General features: G+C 54.1%; 1 protein-coding gene across 5 annotated transcripts in view, besides 3 other annotated features; it reads left to right on the top strand.

Moving 5' to 3' along the window:
- The window catches only part of PITPNM3 (PITPNM family member 3), a 105,293-nt gene continuing 84,421 nt past the window's right edge, over positions 234 to 21,105 (top strand). For all 5 annotated transcript variants that reach the window (NM_001165966.2, NM_031220.4, XM_011524015.4 and 2 more), the window contains exons 1-2: positions 234 to 404; positions 18,707 to 18,802. In NM_001165966.2, the coding sequence (NP_001159438.1) occupies positions 383 to 404; positions 18,707 to 18,802 (118 nt within the window). In that variant the 5' untranslated portion in view covers positions 234 to 382. The remainder of the gene's footprint in view (positions 405 to 18,706; positions 18,803 to 21,105) is intronic.
- Positions 1,323 to 1,969: an enhancer, noted in NCBI's record as "H3K4me1 hESC enhancer chr17:6458140-6458786 (GRCh37/hg19 assembly coordinates)". NCBI's record gives its function as "activates a minimal SCP1, AML or CMV promoter by ChIP-STARR-seq in primed H9 embryonic stem cells {active_cell/tissue: H9 hESC(primed)}" and the evidence as "EXISTENCE:reporter gene assay evidence [ECO:0000049][PMID:30033119]".
- Positions 7,149 to 7,867: an enhancer, noted in NCBI's record as "H3K4me1 hESC enhancer chr17:6452242-6452960 (GRCh37/hg19 assembly coordinates)". NCBI's record gives its function as "activates a minimal SCP1, AML or CMV promoter by ChIP-STARR-seq in primed H9 embryonic stem cells {active_cell/tissue: H9 hESC(primed)}" and the evidence as "EXISTENCE:reporter gene assay evidence [ECO:0000049][PMID:30033119]".
- Positions 12,404 to 12,904: an enhancer, noted in NCBI's record as "H3K4me1 hESC enhancer chr17:6447205-6447705 (GRCh37/hg19 assembly coordinates)". NCBI's record gives its function as "activates a minimal SCP1, AML or CMV promoter by ChIP-STARR-seq in primed H9 embryonic stem cells {active_cell/tissue: H9 hESC(primed)}" and the evidence as "EXISTENCE:reporter gene assay evidence [ECO:0000049][PMID:30033119]".

Here is a 21,105-nt window from a genome sequence, read left to right as displayed (position 1 = left end):
CGCGTCTCTGAGCCCCTGGGCTGCCGCCCCTCGCGCGCTGCGGTGGCCGCGCGGGCCGGAGCGGAGCGGGCTGGAGCGCGGCGGCCACGGCCCGGGGCGGGGGTGCGGGCCCGCGGGGGCGGCGTTGGGCGCCTTCCTTCGTCAGTCCCTCCCCGGCGGCGCGGGGGGTGGGGTGGGGGGGGGGCGCGGCCGCCGCTCGGCGCCTTTAAGGGAGCGGGAGGGAGCGGCGAGGCGGCGGCGGCTGCGGTGGCGGCAGCCGAGGCGAGCGGGGCGGGGGCGCGGGCGCGGCGCTCGGAGTCCGTTCGGGGCCGGAGGCGGTCGGGGCCGGGCCCGGGAAGCGCGAGGAGCGCGCGTAGCGCCGCCGGAGCCCGCCGCCCGGGACATGGCCAAGGCGGGCCGTGCAGGTGAGGGCGGGCGCGGGGAGGGCAGGGCCGGGGCCCGGGGGAGGGACTCGCGCGTCTAGAGGAGGGGCCGCCGGCCCAGGTGAACCCCTCGCGCAGGTGGGCGGAGGTCCCGGGAGGGCGTAGGGGGCGGTAGCGGGGCTGGACCTCCCGCGCGTGGAGAGGGGGCTCCGCGCGCCCCCCGTCCTTCCTGCGCCCCCGGTCACCTCGGGGGACACCGCGTCCCCTTCTCCACGGCCCCGCCGGAAAGGGCCAGGTCTGCGGCGCCCCGGGCCAGTCCCGCCGTTGGGAGCCCTCTGCACCCCGCGGAGGCCCCGGGCAGACCCGGGCTTCGCCACCGAAGGGGATGTCCCGCGGCCGCCGCTTCGTCCCACACCCCAACGCAAACCGGGACGCGCCCCCTGCTCCTGCAGCTCTCTCCATCCAGGACGCCACAACCCCCCGCCCCAGCCCCCGTCACCAGCTCAGTCCAGAGACCCAGATTCCTTCTCGGGAAGGAGGGGAGCCCCGTGCCGCGCCGGCTGCTGGCCGCCCCGCCCCCTCCCCCATCGACCCTGGGACGCAAAGCCTCAGCTGCGGAGGCCTCTTCTGGGGTCCCGTGGGCTCTGCCCTCCCCCAGGCTCAGACGGTGTAGCCTGTGGTTTGAGGGAGCGGGCATTAGTCATTCGTTCATTCATCCAGCCCGACGTTCATTCACTAGCATCTGCTCTGTGCCAGACCCTGAGCTGGGCACCGGGGCTCAGGCGGACTCAGCCCCCCTGCTGCGCCCATGCTGGGGAGACCCAGGCCCGTGACTCATCGGGCACATTCTGGGCCCGATGGTGCCTTGGGAGGCGGGTGGAGGACAGCTGTGCCCACAGGGCCGGCCATACAGTAGGCGGCAGCAAGCCTGGTCTCGGCAGTGCCTCTTGTGAGGCTGGCGTGTGAGAATCTACCATGAACTCACACCCAACCCGTGACGTTGGCTGGTGCCATGCCGTCCCCCAGGACCGGGCGCGACAGTGAAGGAATGGGTGTGAATACCATCGGGCTGTGTGTCAATCCACCCCCAAGCCCGAAAGCTGCCCGGGACCCTGGGCTGCGGACCCGTCTCCCTGTGCAGGCACTGAGCCTGTAAGATTTAGGTGCCTGAGAATGCACTCCCGTTCTGTCCCCAAGGAGTCCTGTCGGGGTGGGGCCGGTTGTGTGAGGCACAGCCAGTATGGAACACAGCTAAACAGCCTTCTCACTCCCCTCCCTTTTCCCCTCCTGAGGGAGGCACTGTGAGATGACACCAAGGAAGCTGAAAAAGGCTTCTTGCCTCCCTCTTTCCTCCACCGTGCCTGGGTCCTCACCCACCCCGACTCCTTAAAATGGCCTGTGGCAGGGCGTGTGTCCCATCTGCTGCCCTACCCTGTGTGTGTGTGAGTGTGTGTGTGCACTGGGACGCCTTGAGCACAGGTCACCTGCCAGGGCACTGTCATCGCAACGGCAGTGAACATTTGCTGCTTGTTCTATGTATTAGGCAGAGTGCTAAGCTCTTTACTGTACCGTGATCCTGGGAGGGAGGAAATGCGACTCTCCCACTTTTAAAACATCTAGAAACAGATACTCAGAGAAATAGCAGCCTCAAGGTGGCTTAGAGGGTCTGGGCAGAGCCTGGACTCACAGCCAGGTCTATTGGACTCGAAGGACTCTCTCTGTCACTGCCCTGATAGGTCACCCCCTTACCAAATGGGGGTGCCAGTCTCAGTCCCTCTGCCTTAGCCTGTGGGTCCTTTGGTCCCTGGGCTGAGAGTCTGTGGGAATTTGTTCCAGTGACAGGTGGAAAAACTGCCCTGCTCTGAGCATCAATGCCTTGTGCTGTTCTAACATTTTGGTTTTTTTCTGCTGCAATTTCACGCTTGGCCCTTTCCCTCGAGGCAACACAGATTCCCCGTGTCTGTAGATCCAGTGCCTGGGCTCCTGCCCCCCACACTCAGCAGTCATCCCAAGGAGTCTGGTTACCTCTCCCTTCTCAGCTCAGCTCTCCCAGGCTCCTCTGCATTTTGTAAATGTCCCTTCTCTCCTTTTTTTTTTTTTTTTTTTTTGAGATGGAGTCTCGGTCTGTCTCCCAGGCTGGAGGGCATGGCTTGATCTCGGCTCACTGCAACCTCCGCCTCCTGGGCTGAGGCGATTCTCCTGCCTCAGCCTCCCAAGTAACTGGGACTACAGATACATACCACCACATCCAGCTAATTTTTGTATTTTTAGTAGAGACGAAGGTTTCATCATGTTGGCCAGGCTGGTTTTGAACTCCTGACCTCAAATGATCTGCCTGCCTCAGCCTCCCAAAGTGATGGGATTACAGGTGTGAGGCACTGCGCCTGGTCTCCCTTCTCTTCTTGATGCTCATAAGCCTACTGAATCAAAAACAACACACAGTAATGTGTGTATGAGAATCACATATTCCTCATTGGCAACATCTGTGAAGAATAGATTGGTGAGCTTCAGAACAGAGGGAGCCCTTGGAGATCAGGAACCCATCTCTTTCTTCACAGCTGGGGAAACTGAGGCCCAAGGAGAACATAGAGAGCGGGGTGGCTGTTCAGTACCACCTGCCTCGGATGGGCAGACTGATGGGCAGGAATGATCAGGCCTTCACTCTGGCGGGGTGGGGCGGCGGGGGGTGACACAGGAACAAAGGGCTGCTGAAGGCCAGGAGTGGAGGCTGTGGCACCCGGCCTGTGAATGAGGGGTCTGCACCATGACCTGTGAGATGTTCCCTTTAAAATCTGGCCAGTAGATCACCCACGGAGAGAAAAGGCAGAGCTTTGGGCCCCAGGGCTGCCATGGTACCTGACTTTAGGTCATCACGTGTGGTCTAGTGAATAATACCCCTGGAGTTGTGCAGTGCACAGCCTGAGCAGCAGGTCATGGCTGTGCCAGATTTGTGGCATGGCTTGTGTCGGACAAGAGCTAAAAGGAGGCAGTGAAAGGACTCTTACACTGCCAGGAGAATCCAGGTACAAGAGAAATTGTTATCGGGGCCCAGAGAGGATGAGATAGATCTTCAGAAGGTGAATCCAGATGGGTTATTACCAGTTCTCAATCTCTAGGGGAGATTTCAGTTACACAGAAAGGCATCATTTATGGTGGCCCCAGTCTAACCAGCAACAGGGAGGTGGGGGCAGGGGTGGGGAGGATTCAGAAGCTCTGAGTAGGAGGGACAATTTACAGTACAGAGCTCCCCACGGAGCAGAGAGGCCAGTGAGTGGCTTGAGACAGACAGTGAAGGCTGGGTTTCTCTGGGAGATGGGCCCTAAAGGCTGGCACAGTTTGTATAGAAAGGTGGCCAGGGGCTCGGTGCGGTGGTTCGTGCCTGTAATCCCAGCACTTTGGGACGCCGAGGCGGGCAGATCACGAGGTCAGGAGATCGAGACCATCCTGGCTAACACGGTGAAACCCCGTCTCTACTAAAAATACAAAAACAAAATTAGCCAGGCGTGATGGTGGGCGCCTGTAGTCCCAGCTTCTTGAGAGGCTGAGGCGAGAGAATGGCATGAACCCAGGAGTCAGAGCTTGCAGTGAGCCGAGATCGTGCCGTTGCACTCCAGCCTGGGCTACAGAGCGAGACTCCGTCTCAAAAAAAAAAAAAAAAAAAAAAGAAAAAGAAAGGTGGCCAGGGGCCGGCTTCCAGGTGGGGGTAGTGGCTTGAACAAAGGCTAGGAGGATGGAAAGGAAGAGGCACATGTGTAAGTGTGGGAGGACTGCTATGGGTAGGGGTGGAAGGTGGGTAGGAAGTGCCCAAAAGTAAAGAAACCTGGCTGGAGCGGAAGAATGCAGAGGGCTAAAAGGAACTCCAAAGAGCATGAAGACAGGAGTGCCGGGGTAAGACTTGGCACTGTGTTTCGACAGATCCCTCTGGCTGGGACGCCAGGGCTCCTGGGAAGCTGGAGAGAGGCCAGCCTGGTGGAGCTGCCTTTGTTGGGAAGGGTTGATTCTGACTCCTGCCAGCCACACTGCCCCTCCCTTCCTGTCTACCTCCCTGTGCCCCTCCCTCTGCACCCCAACAGGCTGCCCCTCTCTCCCACTGAGAGAATGAGGGTAGGGGGTGGGGGCCAGGTCCCCAGGTTAGGCAGGAGCAGAGTGAACAGCCTAGAGGGTCTTGGCACCTCTCAGGCTGGGGCAGGAATATCTGCAGAGACAGAGCCGAGGCCACAGGGTTGGGCCTCCCAGGCTGGAGGAACCAGTTTATTCTCCTCTCAGGTGTTAGCCTCTGCTCTGAGGGGTGTAGCTGGCAGGCTTCCATGTGGCAAACCTAGTAATTTGAGTCAGTAAAGTACTGATCCTACGGTGTTAGGATGGGAGGGAACATTTCGATACTCATGTTCCAAGTCCTCGTTAACAATGGGTCGCTGAGGGCCCGTGAGAGGTAGGTATTTGGCCAACGTCACAGAAGAAGGTGACGGCAGAGCCTGGGTTTCCAGAGTTTGGACCTTGCTCTGCTGAGTCAGCCTCCTTTGGGGTCCTCCTGGAGTGGGGCGTGTGCTCTCACATCCTCCCAAAGCGAGACTTCTCCTGGGCCCCTTACTCTGTGGCTCCCAGGGGCAGTGACTAGTGGCTGGATCACTCAGAGGAGGAAACATCTGGAAGCTTGGAAAGGGGACTAGCGCAGATTAAAAAAAAAAAAATTTTTTTAATACTTTTTTTTTCATAACGATGGGGGTCTCATTACGTTGCCCAGGCTGGTCTCAAACTCTGGGCCTCAAGTAATCCTTCCTGCTTTGGCTTCCCAAAGTACTGGAATTACAGGCATGAGCCATCATACCTGGACAACGCTGGGATTCTTAAATCTTTGGGGAGGTGCCAGAGGATTTGAGGCATGACTCTGAGAAACTCCCAGCCCTAGGGCACCGATTACTCTACTGTGTATCTTGGGACGGGCATTGCATCCTGCAAGGAGATGGTAAACTCACTTTCTTTGGTCCCCAATGGGAAGGTTATGGTCAAATATGGTCAAATCAGACACCAGTGTCCAGACTCCAGGCTTTTCTTTTTTTTTTTTGAGATGGAGTCTCGCTCTGTCGCCGAAGCTGGAGTGCAGTGGCGCGATCTCAGCTCAGCTCACGGCAAGCTCCACCTCCCGGGTTCACGCCATTCTCCCGCCTCAGCCTCCTGAGTAGCTGGGACTACAGGTGACTGCCACCATGCCCGGCTAATTTTTTGTATTTTTAGTAGACACGGGGTTTCACCGTGTTAGCCAGGATGGTCTCAATCTCCTGACCTCGTGATCCGCCTGCCTTGGCCTCCCAAAGTGCTGGGATTACAGGTGTGAGCCACCGTGCCTGGCCAGACTCCAGGCTTTTCAAAAGCTTTCCCGCAGTCTGGGGTGTGCTGGAACTTGGATGGCCTCACGTTCCTATGCAAATACGCCGACCTCTGTGAAATCACCTATCCCAGCAGCAGACCTGGCAGGTCCCAGCCTGAGACGTTTGTTGCCGCTCAGTTCTGGCTGTGGTGTCCTTGTTTGAGCCAAGGATGGTGCAGCTCAAACAGAGAGGTTCCACCTCAAGCCTGTGACCCTGGGCCTGGAACCCCTTATCCCCCATTTGAGGCCTCTGTGACTTGACCTGTGTTTGGAAGTCCAGTGTGGCAGGACACAGAATACGAGGACATGGCTGGACAGTGTCCCTGCCCCAGCCACTTGCCTGGGCCATGTCTGGGTCAGATTGGCCAGAAGCTGTGATGTTTTCTCACATACATCTTCATATGTTATGAGACTTCATGGCTGGAGGTGGCCTGGTTCTCCTGTTCTACCTGTTAAGCAGGTTGGGAGACAGAGACCAGACCCTTTCAGTCAAGGGTCCCTCTTTGAGATCCGGCATCCTTTCCCCTTTCAAGGACAGAGTGTGAACTTTCAGAGACCATGGAGGCTTTAGGGACTGGGGACTTCCTGGTAGGACCCAGCTGCCTTCCAGGAATTCTGAGATCCTAGGATCGGGAGTTCGCATGCTGGGACCCATTTGGCTCAGATCCTATAGCAGCTCTCAGCATGCTTTTCTGTCCAATGGCTCAACAGCATCTCTGAGGTAGAGCCAATGTTATTCCCATTTTATGAATGAGACACTGAGGCCCAGTAGGGTTAAATATCTAGGGCTAGAATCACACATAAAGTTAGAGGCAAAGCTGGGATTAGAGCTTATGTCTCTTCTACTGTTGGAGTCAATATTCCTGGGAGCTAACTTGTCTAACGAAGGAGAGCCCTGGCTTTGGCACTGGTTGACCTTGAACTGCCCTCTTTGGGCCTCAGTTTCCTTATCTGTAAAAGTGAAAGGGAAGAGTTTGAGGGTCAGGATGAGCTTCAGGCTCTTTCCAGCTCCAACACTGCTCTCTCCTTTTTGGAGAGAGCCTCCCTGGCTGTGGGTTTTACTGTGTCCTGAAGAGGCCTTGCCCCCTCTCAACTCTGACCTTGCATTGATCCTCCCAGACTTGAGGGTCAGTCATTCCATGGGGAGCTGAGGACGTGGACGTGGAGAGCACGTGCCTCCTGGCAGGCCATCACCAGGTCTGCAGCCAGGAGCCCGGAAGGGGGTGGCCAGGGTCCCCAGGGGAAGGGCTCGGTGTGGGAGGGGGGAGGAGAGAATGCATAACAAATGAGTTTGGAAATCAAATGAGATCTGAGCTCCCCACCCACTCCCTCAAATCTCTCTCCACTCTCTCTCTTTTAAAATTCCTGTTTTCTAAAGAGAAAGAAAATGCTAAATTGCACCCCCTTTTGCAAATGGAATAGGAGGCTTAGTGAGTCACTCCGGAGGTAAATGCCACCTCCAGGGTCCCACGTGTGCCTGTGGAGGCCTGCACAGCTGTGTGGCCACCAGCCCCCACAGGGTGCGTGTGTGGCAAGGGTAGACAGGGGGCAGAAGCCTCCTCTGTCCATGACTCTGGGGTGGGAGCTGGGTCCCAGCACTGGGGCCCCACACAGCCAACCTGCTTCCTCCAGGCTCTCCTAGGGCTGGATTTGTGAGGCTCACACGTTCATGGGGCCACAGCTCAGATTGGGCCAGGCTGGAAGCCTGTGTGGTCACTGTCAGTGCTTGATTTGAGGCTAGAGATGGGGTGCAGAGTGTGGCATGTTGGGGTTCAGTCTGTGGCTGGAGTTGGCACAGTGTGAGTGAATTTGGGGCTCCATGGGGTGTAGTCCGTGTGGCCAGGGCTGGCAAGGGGCTGCGGGGGGTTGCATCTGCCTCTGGAAAGCAGGAGTCTCAGGTTTTGTGAAGCTGCTCTCTCTAGGTGTCCTGGAGAAGCTCTTCTCCAGGGCTGGTGAGCAGGACAGCTTGGAGTGAACCACCTACCAGGGGAAGGTTCCTGGGGGTGTTGGGAGCCTCATCTCTCTTTGGGAGGGTCAGCCTGTTTATTACAAGACCTGGGACATGGGAGGCCAGAGAGGAGGTGTTCCTCTTCCCAGATGACCCATTCTTCTGGAAGGAGGGGAAGTAACCGTCTGTTAGCTGGTAGCAGGGATGCCAAACAAGGGTTGAAAGCAAAAATAGAAACGCGTTGGGCTCTGTCTGGGAGGGGCGTTGAGTTCTGGTGGATCTGAGAGGCCTCTTCTGAGCTGTCTGCTGCTGACACCGTGTTTGCCTGGCTCTGGGTATTTGCAGAGCACGTCACGTCCTGCACTCCTGCCCTCCTTGGGGAGAGACCTAGGTGTGCAGGATGTGGGACTGTGAGCTCTCGGGGCTGACAGCTGGAAGGCTTTCACTTGTTCTAGAGTCTGTCTTTCAGAGAGTCTGAGTGTCTGTGGCTGCCCGTCACTCATGCACCATTGACCTTTTCTGATTGTTCTGGGTTGATCCAGATTACTACCCTCAACAGAACTCCTTTTGGCCCTGATGTCGCCCCTGTGGGTTCCTTCTCTTCCCCTTGCTCCTACTTCCTGCCCCCCGTGAGGCTAGTCCCAGCCGAGCAACTCTAGAGTCATCCCTTGTGGTAAAAAGAGCTATTTTCAGCTTTCCCATTACTGCCCAGTTCGGGTGTGTGTGTGTGTTTACCCCTCGCAGCCTCTGTGTTTCCTTCTTATATAGTATAATCTGGAGCAGTGATGAGAGCTCCGCCTCTGGGGCTTTGGCTGGCAATTCCTGGCACTGTGCTTTGGCACCAAATGGAGGGGCCTGGGGGCAGAGGCAACCTTGGGTCCCATCTTTGCTCAGTTGCAGTCCAGCAGTGGCAGGTGGTATGAGTCGGATCACCTGCAGGGGGTCACATTGGCTCTTGCTGGCATGGAGTGGGGTGGGGAGCTGCTACCCTCCTACTGTTTGCTCCAGGCTAATGGCAGCCTTTGATGCACTTCCCAAAAAGCTGGTCGTTTCATTGAGGTGGTGGTCTTTGAAAGAGACCCCAGCCAGGCGTGGTGGCTCACGCCTGTAATCCCAGCACTTTGGGAGGCCGAGGCAGGTGGATCACCTGAGGTTGGGAGTTTGAGACCAGCCTGACCAACATGGAGAAACCCCGTCTCTACTAAAAATACAAAATTAGCCAGGCATGGTGGTGCATGCCTGTAATCCCAGCTACTTGGGAGGCTGAGGCAGGAGAGAACCTGGGAGGCGGAGGTTGCAGTGAGCCGAGATCGTGGCATTGCACTCCAGCCTAGGCAACAAGAGTGAAACTCTGTCAAAAAAAAAAAGAAAAGAAAAGAAAAGAAAAGAGACCCCAGCGTCCTTTGAGGAGTCTGATTCCAACCTGGCCTCCCGTTGCCTGGGTAGGTGCCTGGACCTTGAGCCCCTATTCTCAGCTCTCTGCAAGGGGGTCCTGCCATGAGCAGAAGGAATGCCTCCTGCTGTCCTGTCTTTCGGGCTGCCCTCCTGGGGAGCCTGCAGGTGGCAGAGCCTGTTGTGGCACAGTGGCAGGTGCTACGGGGAACTCGTTTTAGAGGGAGGAGAGAGCCTCCTCCTTATGGAACAAGAGTCTGGCGGGACATAGGGGGGACAGCTGGGCCTTGGGAGAATTGTTCCAAATAATTCAGAACTGTTGGGAGCCTAATTGGCAGAGCAAATGAAAGTACAATAGATAGCCAAAGCTATTAATCACTAATTATCTCCTAAATAAGGTAATTAATGGGTATTTAAATGGCATATTTATGACATACCAGCAGGTCTTCAAAAAGCACATTTTCCCCAAAGCAACTGGTTTGGCCAACTGTGCCCTGCTTGGAGACTCCCCTTACCCCTAGAAACAGGCGGCATGACAGGAGGCACATCAGTTTTCTCCTCTGAGCTTCAGTTTTCTCATCTGTCAACAAGAATCGTGAGTCCTTTCTTACTGACCTCCCTGGGCTATCGTGAAGACGACAGGCAGCAGAGGCTGTGGAAATCCCAGGCAACCGGATGCAATGCTGTACAGACTTTTTTCTTTTTTTTTTTTGAGACGGAGTCTTGCTCTGTCACCCAGGCTGGAGTGCAATGGCACGATCTCAGCTCACTGCAACATCCACCTCCCGGGTTCAAGCAGTTCTCCCTGCCTCAGCCTCCCGAGTAGCTGGGATTACAGGCATGTGCCACCATGCCTGGCTAATTTTTGTATTTTTTAGTAGAGATGGGGTTTCGCCCTGTTGGCCAGCTTGGTCTGCAACTCCTGATTTCAGGTGATCCACCTGCCTCCGCCTCCCAAAGTGCTGGGATTACGGGCGTGAGCCACCACAGCTGCCCTGTACAGACTTTAGAGTGAACATATCCTTCAAGTTATTTGATACAAGCCCTTGATTGTGCTGGGTGCCATTGTGTGGCCAGGGTCAGGGCTTAGTCTTTGGCTAGCAGTGTTGTTGCTCTGTGACTGAGTCAAGCTGGGTCTGTGGTCAGGTTCGTGGTGTGGTTTGAGACAGGAGTTGTGGCCTGGCCTGTGGCCATGGTTGTAACTCGGTCTATGGCCAAACTGAAAGTTGAGGCCATGGTTGAGGTTGAGGTTTGGGCCACGGCTAGTCTCAGACCTGAGCTGTTCTCAGGACAGTTCTGCAATCTGAAGTCAGCCTCAGTCTTTAAGTGCATTACCGATGGATGGATGATCCCCTCTGGTTGCCCTGGAAGCTGGATTTCTTCCGGGGTTCTCCAGGATGTTGGCTTCAGATGCAGCGTACTCGGGCAGATAGGCCCTTCCAGGGCTCCTGGCGTGTCCCCTGAAACAGACGAGCACATGAGCTCATCGGTGGCACATATAGCAGTTTGGGAGATAGTTAGGACATGTTTCTATAGCAACCAACCCCCAACCAGTACTGGTTTCCTTCAATAATGCCTTTTTCTGGAAGCAGCTTCTCCTGGCCTCTCATCTCTCCCTGGACAGCCCCCCTTCAAGGCTGAGGATAGGCTGGCTGGCCCTGGACTGGTCTGGTCTCCAAATTCACCCTGATCCAGAGAGGAAGCCTGAGGACATTCCCTCGGGGATGCTCCCCTGAGAGGGGGCCTTGCTAAGATCTCCCCTCTGCTGGGCCACACTGAGCCTGACAAGAGCCTTCTGTGTGCCCAGCCCTGACCTGGCACAGGATAGGAGCCTGGAGAGGATTCCTACCAGGTGTCTGCTCAGGGGGAACCCACAGCCCAATGGGGCAGGCAGGCCTGGACCCAGTCTGTAAATAGGGACTCTGAGGGACACAGGTGCTGCACATGAAGGACCCACAAGGAGACAGGCACCCGGGCTGGCCTCAGGGGCCAAGAAAGACTTCCAGCTGATGCTTCAAGCATCAATAGGAATTGGGGGTGGGATGGGGAGATAGAAGACGTTTCAGGCATCAGGACCTGCAGGAGGAAAGGCCTGGAGAGGAAGAGGAGCGTGGTGTGAAGGCTCTACTGGTGGCAATGTGCTGCTGAAGCCCAGGCTGCTGGAAGGAGAGGCTGGGATGGGAGAGCAGGTCCTGGCCTGCAGTAGTTCAAGTTTAGGGAGCAGACAAGGCAAGCCCCAGGGACCTGCGATGGGAGGGAGGAGAGGGGGATTGGCCTCACGAGCGTGGGCAGGGGCAAGCATTTCCAGCCTTTGGGGAGTGGCGAGGCTCCCATTCCAGGGGCCCGAGAAGAAGGAGAGGGGTCTGCCCTTGGAAGTTGCCACGGATGAAAGAACCAAAGAAAAGCTCTTGGAGAATCACAATTTATTATTTTATTTAACACGCCCTTTTATAGCACTGATGGAGTCTCAGGCACTCTGCTAAACCGTTTTGAAATGTTTGTTCATGTAATCCTCACTGCGACACTATGTAAGCATGATTATCCTCCCCGTTTTACAGAGCAGGAGACTGAGGCACAGAAGGGTTTCCTGTCATTTAGTAAGATCACGAATTGGTAAGTGGCAGAACTGGGGCTGGAAGCAGTCAGGTGGGAGCGGGATGGTGGTTTCCTCGAGGGAGGAGGAGGCACGGAGGAGGCGGGGCTTGACAGTCACCTGCCTGTCCGCAGGAGCCTCGGCCAGGCTGTAGGAAGCACTGCACTCCACATTCTGCGTTTGGACCCCAGGGACCCCAAGGCAGAGCTGAGAGCACTGAAGTGTGATTCTAAGTGCATGTGTGCGTGTGTGTGTGTGTGAGTGTGTGTGTGTGTGTGGCTGCATGAGCCACATGTGTGCTCTGGGCTCTATGTGTCTACGGGGCTCCCACTGCCCATGGGACATCCCAAGGCCTGATTATTTTCAGCTGCATCAGCCGCCAGGAGTTAGACCCTGATGCTTGTGCTTGTAGAACCTGCTGTTCTCGTGTATGTGTATGTGTGTATTTGTGTGTGTGTGTGTGTGTGTGTGAGAGAGAGAGAGAGAGAGAGAGAGAGAGACACCATTCAAATGAGCCTCAGCCCTGCAGCCAGGCACTGCTCTCACTCTTGGCTCCTCTCCTTTTCTGTTTTTTATTTTATTTTTATTTTTTTTGAGACAGAGGCTCACTCTGTTCCCCAGGCTGGAGGGCAGTGGCATGATCATGGCTCAATGCAGCCTCAACCTGCTGGGCTCAAGTGATCCTCCCACCTCAGCCTCCTGAGTACCTGGGACTATAGGCACATGCTACCCTGCCAGGCTTGTTTTTTTACTTTGACTTTTTTGTACAGATGGGGTCTCACTTTGTTGACGTGGCTGGTCTCAAACTCCTGGGCTCAAGCAATCCTCCTACCTTGGCCTCCCAAAGTGCTGGGATTACAAGTGTGCGGCACCATGCCTGGCCTCCCTTTCTTCTTCTGAGGCACAGATTGCTTAAGTCCATCCAGCATTGGCAGGCTGCAGTTTCTGATATAGCCGTAGGCAGGGCTGGGCCTAGAAGCTGTGGCCACAGGCCAGTAGGTGCAGGTGCCAGCCCAATGCTGTGCACCCACCAGGGCCTCGCTCAGGGGCACCTGTTCCTCCCTGGAGGTCTGGAAATTGCACGTGTTATCTGAATGTCCCTGGAGTCACAGCTGCCAGCAGACACCCATGTGCCCTCCTTTGCCCCGATGCTCCTTACCCTTGAGGAGAAAGTTCTAGATCCAGCTTTCCTTGGAAAGGGCTCGATTGTTTTGGCCTGTGTCTCTCCCTTCCTCCCACCTGCCCCAGCCTGGCCAACCCTGCCCACCCCTTCCTTGGAGGCTCATCTTGGCTTCCCCTCCCCCGGAAACCCTCTGGGTACCCTAGCCAGTCCCTGCTTCTGGGAGGACCATTTCCACTTGCCGCGGGACAGACATGGTGGGTGTGGAATTTCACACGGGCCAGGACGTCTGCTCCTCTGTTCCTCCTGTGCTCTGTGCAGGAAGCAGTGTAGGGCTGTGCCCCCAGGGCTGGCATTTCTGAGGGCAGGGACTGTTCCAGTTCAGCTCTGCCCCCTACTCCTTCCTTCCTGGCACCATCTGGCCCAAGGTCTGGCCCAGTAAGCATCGGCCAATACCTTTGTTCTGCATCTTACGGTCAGGGCGTTCCTCACTGTGAAATGTCTTCCCCTCAGACAGGGCTCCTGAGCATGGGGGAGGCATCTCCCTTCGCCTGAGGACTCTGCCCCTGGGGCTGGGGCTGCCTTGGGGTCCCTGATATAGAGCAGAACACACATAGGAGACGCCTGTCCATCTGTCTGCCTGTCTGTCTCTCTGTCCACCTAGTCCTATGTCCCTGAGTGGGAAAGATGGCCAGGAGGAGCTGACGATCTGAGCAGAGTCTTTGGCTGCACCCATGCTAGGGAGACCCAGGCCCATGACAAGGTCCAGGAGACCACCCTGGACCTGAGGTGGTGGGTATCGGGGCCAGGAGAGGGAGTGGGGATGGCTTCCAGCAGCCCCTCCCACTGAGCGGCCCAGCTCGGAGCTGTGCTGGCATTGCTGGGGTGAAGGGTCATTTGTTTCTCTCTAAATTGCTAGAAGAAGAGTTGGGATATTCCCCTTCTCTTTCATCCTGACTTAACATTTTAAATAAATGTAGGTCTGGGTGTGGTGGCTCACGCCTGTAATCCCAGCACTTTGGGAGACTGAGGTGAGCAGATCGCTTGAGCTCAGGAGTCTGAGACCAGCCTGGGCAACATGGCAAGACCCTGTCTCAATTAAAAAACAAAAAATAAAAATAAATAAATGTGGTAGTGAAGGTGGATGGAAGGAGGGTCTTCAGGAGGAGGTGGGCTGGGCCTTGGAGGACACAGATAGAGCTCTGAGGCCTTGGGGAGGGCCCCTGGCAGCTGCCTGGAAGCCCCTCAGGTGGGCTTACCCTGCCTCAATCCTTGGTCCTGTCGCTGACAAGGCCACCATTTCCAAGTGCCAGGCAGTGGGCTAGACGCTCTGGGGGCTGATGTCATTTAAATCTCCTAACAGTGGGGTAAGTATTATGATGCTCATTTTCCGGATGAGAAAAGTGAGGCTCAGTGAAGTTAACTTGCTTCAGGTCCTAGATTAGCCACTGGTAACACTGCACCCAGATTTGTGTTGTTCCAAAGCCCGTGTTCTAACCTCTGCTAAATTTTCACCCATGGCTGGAGCTGATTTACTTTGTGTGTGAGGGAGAGAGGGAGAGAATTATGGGAGTGTGCATGCATGCATGATTCTTAGGAACAATATTAGGAAGGGGGCTGGCAAGTGGGTAAGCTCACACTCCCCAAGGAATGTAGACACACACACAACAGCCAAGCAGACACAGGGACAGATGCTCGTGTAACACTAGACACCTCTACGCAGGAATGTAGACATCCATTTAGATTTTTCCCACAGACACAAGGATACCCAGACACTGATTTGTAGACCTGATGGGCAGATGGTTCTAGAACTGGGACAGCTGAGCCCCCCAGGGCTAGGGCCCCCATGAGGAGCCAGGGGCAGGCCTCTGGCCCCTTGCCCAGCTGGCCAGAAACAGGTAGAAGGGTTGCTATTTCCAAGAGAGCGGGCAATGGAGAGAGGAGGAGACTGAGGTCCCCCGCCCTGATCTCTTCCGCAGAGCAAACGCCTTCCTGAAACATCCCTGAGGCTCTGTTTTCTTAGCTGTAAGGTGGGGATTCAGTATGTCTACTTTGCTAGGCTTGGTTAGGATGACTTTAGCTAATGTCTGAAAAGCAGCTAGCAGACTGCCTGGCATGCCGCACTCACCAAGCAAATCATTTTTATTCATTTACTTGTTTGTCAAACACTTCCTGGCCCTCTTCTGTGTGGGACTTTGTGTTGGACCCAGAAAATGCAGGGAAGTGTAGGGCAAGGACCCACCTCAAGGACACTGCTTCTGAGCCTTTCCCTTGCTGTTCTGGGGTCGTCATGCCCACCTGCTGTGACTCTCAGGAACCTAGGTGGCCTCTAGCACATCTGACTTGTGGTCCCCTCCCCCAGGAGACTTTCTGACACTCTTCAGCATCTGTATTCCCCTCCTCTTGAAGTTTGCAGGTGATAGAGGCTTGGCAGTGGGAGGAGCCTTAAAACTCACCTGTTCCAAGCTTCCGTCCATGACAGGTCCTACCCTACCTGGTCAGGCTCCATTTCCCCTATTCCTGTCCCCCTTCAATCATTGGCCCCAGCCACATGGATTTCTTTCTGCCCCTTGGACACACCAAGCTCATACGGGAATTTACCCTTGCAGTTCTTTCATCCAGGAAGGCTCTTATCCATGGATTTTGCCCGGTCCATCCCACACATGTATGTGCACAAGCAGATGTGCATACACACACACACACACACACACACACACACTCTTAGCATATCTGGGTTTTCTTATTATTCAGGCCTCTGCTTGCCTGACACCTTTCCACAAAGGTCTTCCCCTCTAACCCCTCCTGAGACACTGCCCATTGCTTTTCTCCTTGTTGGAAATACGACCTTTGTTGTTTGCCAAAAAATCTGCATGCTGGAGGAAGAGATGCAGGGAAGAGTTCCCATGTTCCATCTTAACATATCTGTTTTTGCAGGTATATAACTGAGGTTCCCTGCACCCCAACACCTTTCCAGAAGTTTGTTGGGCAGCCCCTGCTGGAGGGGAGGGAAGACCTGGTATCCAGTATACATTTAAAAACCAAGGCGGGGCCAGATGCAGTGGCTCACGCCTGTAATCCCAGCACTTTGGGAAGCTGAGGCGGGCAGATCACCTGAGGTCAGGAGTTCGAGACTAGCCTAGCCAACATGGTGAAACCCCGTCTCTACTAAAAATACAAAAATTAGCCGGGCATGGTGGCAGGCACCTGTAATCCCAGCTACTTGGGAGGCTGAGGCAGGAGAATCTCTTGAACCCGGGAGGTGAAGGTTGCAGTGAGCCAAGATCGCACCATTGCACTCCAGCCTGGGCGACAAGAGCAAAACTCTGTTTCAAAAACAAAACAAAACACCAAGGCAGGTATACATTTTGAAAGCAAGTAGAATAATAGTAAACAAGATAAAATATGCATTTGAAAAGAATATATATTTTAACCACAAAAGAGAGCCGCAATAATAAAAGGGAGACATCATGTTAGTTCAGCATTTATAACTACAATAGGTGACAAAGTTCTTTTGATGTCTGAGGCTGAGTTTCCCCAACCATTTTCTCCCCACGGAAGTACAGATCCACACATTCAAGTCTGTCTGTTCTTTAGGCTGTAATTATCACATAAGAGACACTTGAGGAAGGAGGACATAGTGTAGGAAGGGAGAGGTTTTGGGCTGAAATTATCTGGGTTGTTTATTTGACTGAGGCTGGCTTTTCCTTCCCCGCCTGCAGAATGTAAGCTTTGCGAGCACCCAATCCTGTCCATTCCCCACAGTGTTCCCAGTTCCCAACACAGTGTCTGTGGAATGAGAGGCCCCTTTGATGCCTACCAGCCCCTTCCTTTTCTGCTCACCTGTAGCTGGGAGAACTTGCTCCCTCAAATGGAGCTGACTGGCCTCCCTGCAGCCTTTCCCTCTGCCCCAGACCTCCTGCTGGGACCCCTGCACAGGTCATCAGAGAGAATGCCTCTGCCTTTGTTCTCGGATGGATCTAAACCGTGCATGTATGAGGCCACCGCATAGAGGAGCCTCTCACTGGGCTCTTGCTGTTCAAACTCAGGAGCCAAATGGATCCAGATAAATCCTCAGCTGACTTTGTTGCTACTTAAACTCTTGCTTCTTACTATCTAAAACTCAGGAGCTGAACAGATGGGGATAATAGGACTTTGCTGACTATCCAAATTCTTACTTCTTAGGAACGGAAAAGACTGGGATAGCAAGGGATGTCTGTATATTAATCTAGCGTATTCACATAGTATGCAAATGTAGTAGATATGATAGATTTTATACCTTTAGTATCTGTTGATTGAGAAAACATACAGTTGATATAATTCAGGAATAATTTTAAGTGATTGTAGTTTTTGAATCACAGAAATTTTTATATACATTTGCTTTATGCCTAAGTATTTTGTGTGCGCTATTTTAAAGGGCGTTATCATTTTCAAATTTCAGTTCATTTCTTGTATCTAGGAATGCAATTGACTTTTGCATGTCGATCTTGTATCCTGCAATCCTGCTATACTCAGTTGTTAGTTCTGGTAGTTTTTTTAATATAGATTTTGTAGACTTTTTGTTTTCTGCATAGACAATTATGTCATCTGGGAATGAAGACAATTTTATTTCTTCCTTTCCAATCATTTCTTTTTTCTTGTCTTATTGCAATAGCTAGAATGTCCTCCACATACATTTGGAAAATCGTCCCATATCTGTGTTAGGAACACACAGTTATGGTGCATCTGAACTCTCAGACCCCCCTTGCAGTAAATCCAGGGCCCGAGGGTGGAACGTCAGCTCACACTGGTAGAGACAGGGGATCAGAAGCTTAGGGAATCAGCCTTGTACCTAGAGGTGACTACCGAGTTGGTGTTCACTGTACCCTCTGTCCTTTTGATGTCTCAGAATGTGCTTCTTACTGGGCTCCAAGCCATGAAGCACAAACTGGGTGTGTGTTTGGGAGTTTGTGGTGGGCCAGGCAGGAACGACAGGCAGGAGGGCTGTGTCCCTGGATGGCCTGGGCTGACCGTCTCCCTTCAGGAACAGTTTATGCTCTGGGATCTGGACTCAGGGCAGGGAACAGTGCCAGCATCCTGCAGGGTAGGGGGTGTGGTGAACTGGGACTGTAGCAGGTATCTCGAAGGACTGCACCATCAGGCTCACCTGGCAGTGGCTAGGGAGGATGTCCACCCCCCGCCCCATGCTTGTTTATTGTCAGTTACTGTGGGCCAGGTGGGCTCCTCCAATATCAGTCAGAGTAGAAGAGTTTCAAAGGACAGTCTCTGCCAGGATTCTCATTGTACAGATGGAAAAACTGAGGCAGGGGCATTGCTGATACAAGAATGCAGGTCTCTGAGGGACAGGACGTGTGTGCCTGGTAGTCAGGGCCAGTGAAATGCGAGCAGAAGTGTGTGATTTCTGGGCAGAAGCATTTAAGACTAGGTGAGATTTTCTGAGCTCTTCTCCCCTGCTTGGCCAGAACTTGATGTCTCCTTTTGGGCTGGTGACATCGTAAGGTGGTGGCACTTATGAGTGACAGCAATGAGCAGAGCTCCCTTCCAACCTGTATGTGAGTGAGAAATGAACCATTGATGTTTAAACGTCTGAGCTCATTTGTTAATACAGCAGAGCTTCCCCTGTGCTGACTGAGACGCTGCTTGGCAAAGTCACCTTGGCAAAGGCTCATAACTACCACCAGCCTCAGTGTTAGGACATGGAAAATGGGCACACGCATTCCTGCTCTGCTGCACTTACTCAGAGAGGTTTTTGAGCTTCAATGACAGCACAGGAGAGGGAGGGCTCTGTGAGGTCTGAGGCCTCGGAGGGAGAGGGCACAGATGTGCAGGATGCTAACTGGCCTTTAGTCCAGGGGGGTCTTGGGTCACCTCCCTCATACTGGGACAACATCTCAGGCTTGGTTAACAGATGTGTTCCCTTTAACAGGTGGTCCTCCCCCGGGCGGCGGTGCCCCCTGGCACCTTCGAAATGTCCTCAGTGACTCTGTGGAGAGCTCAGATGATGAATTCTTTGATGCCAGAGGTGAGTGAACCCCAGTCTCATATCACTGGCTGGGTGACCTTCCTAGAAGCCTCAAGAAGAAGATCCCATTTGGGGGTCCGCATCCCTCCCCACTCAGACGTGGTATCTGCAGCTCCACACTCCATACTTACCCATCCTGTGGATGTGCCAAGAGCAGGGGCTCAGCCTTCGTCTGTTCACTGTTTGAAATATTTGCTGAACCCCTCACATGTGCCGGGAACTCTGCTAGGTGCCAGGGATCCTGTGGCAATCAGTCGTCACATTGCTGCTCTCATCATACTTATAGCCTTGCAGGAGAGGCAGACATCCAAGAAAATACAATGACGAATGGGGACCATCGCCACTAAGTAAAAGTGCCGCTGCTAAGTAAAAGTGCCAGCTGTTGTAAGAGAGAACAGTCAGGCCAGGCGTGGTGGCTCACACCTGTAATCCCAGCACTTTGGGAGGCCAAGGTGGGTGGATCACCTGAGGTCAGGAGTTTGAGACCAGCCTGGCCAACATGTGTATTCCCTTAACAGATGTGTTCCCTTTAACAGGTGGTCCTGTGAAACCCCATCTCTACTAAAAATACAAAACATTAGCCGGGTGTGGTGGCGGGTGCCTGTAATCCCAGCTACTGGGGAAGCTGAGGCGGGAGAATCGCTTGGACCCGGGAGGCAGAGGTTGCAGTGAGCCGAGATGGCACTGCAGACAGAGCGATACTCTGTCTCAGAAAAAAAAAAAAAAAAAAGAAAGAAAAAATAAATGAGCCTCATAGATGCAGGGAGTGCCAGAGTGTTAGAAAGACTGTTGCCAGTGTTCAGGTGAGGGACAAGGAGGGTGGGGAAATGACCTCTGCATCTCTTCCCGGCCAACCCATGAGACATAGGAAGGAGCATTGTTGACGTTGGGATTGAAAGAAAGGGGCATCCAAAGGGGTGGACATTTCAGGCAGAGATCAGCCTTGAAGGCTCAGAGGCACGAGTACCCAGGCAGGTGTACAGGCATGGGAAGGTAGAATCGGTCTGGAATTGAGCAGAGAAGACCCTCCCTAGCCATGCTCTGCTGGGCTGCAGAGGAGTTGGGGAGAAGCACCAGGGTCCTGATCCACAGCCCAGGACAGTCCCTGGCTCTTGCTTGGCCTGCGTGGCCCCACTCTGGGAAGTCACCATATTTAGGGTGTTGACTTACTCCTGAGACGGAGCTGGCTTTGAAATGCTTGGCAAACGGGGTCTTGGAAGAGAAACAGACTACGTGCTGGGAAGACGTCAATACCCAGAGCGGGACACTTGGGATGTGGTCTCAGCCATGCCATCGACTAGTTCTGTGACCTTGGCGGGGCTTTCACTTTCTCTGGGCCTCAGTTTCCCTACCAGCTCTATGCCTCCAACAGTGGAGAAGACTCAGTTTGGGTGATTTTTAGGACATGTGGCTGGGAGGTGGGGAGCTGTCCCCCATTCTTGGCTCTGGGCGGGGAACCCCTTCCCTGAGGCCAGCCCTAAACCAGCCCATTTGGGGCCTGTCTCCCATGGGCGTCTAATTAGAGTGGCTGCTGGGGCTGAATTTCTCCATAGCAACTAACCCACAGTGAGACAACAACAGCTTCAATATTTTGATGCTTGGAAGACTTTCATTTAAAACATTTCTGCAGTTCATCAGGGCTCTGCGTTCCCAGCTGACGACAGAGGCATCTGTGGGTGGCGCGAGGGTCAGCTCTATCCCTTCGGGCCCTGCTCACCTGCCGTCCCTGAGAGCAGCTGCAGTGCTTCTCATGCTGACGGCTGTCTCCCTGGCCCCTCCATTGTCTCTGTCCTCTCCCTCCCATCTCACGGCTTGTTCTGCCGTGAAATCGGCCCCACTTCTCACTCCTCCCATGTTGGTGGCCCTGTGTTTTCTTTCTCATCATCTCCTTTTTTTTTTTTCTTTTTTTTTCCTTTTTTTTTTGAGATGGAGTCTCGCTTTGTAGCCCAGGTGGCGGTGCAACGGAGCGATCTTGGCTCACTACAACCTCTGCCTCCTGGGTTCAAGCAATTCTCCTGCCTCAGCCTCCCAAGTAGCTGGGATTACAGGCATGTGCCACCACGTCTGACCAATTTTTTTTTTTGTAGTTTTAGTAGAGACAGGGTTTCACTATGCTGGCCAGGCTGGTCTCAAACTCCTGACCTCAAGTGATCTGCCCGTCTTGGCCTCCCAAAGTGCTGGGATTACAGGCAGGCACCACCATACCTGGCTAATTTTTTTTTTTATTTTTAGTAGAGACAGGGTTTCACCATGTTGGCCAGGCTGGTCTTGAACTCCTTACCTCAAGTGATCTGCCTGCCTTG

Source organism: Homo sapiens, chromosome 17 (genome assembly GCF_000001405.40).
Source record: "Homo sapiens chromosome 17, GRCh38.p14 Primary Assembly".
Lineage (NCBI taxonomy): Eukaryota > Metazoa > Chordata > Mammalia > Primates > Hominidae > Homo > Homo sapiens.
This window is presented reverse-complemented; position numbering and strand designations above follow the sequence as displayed.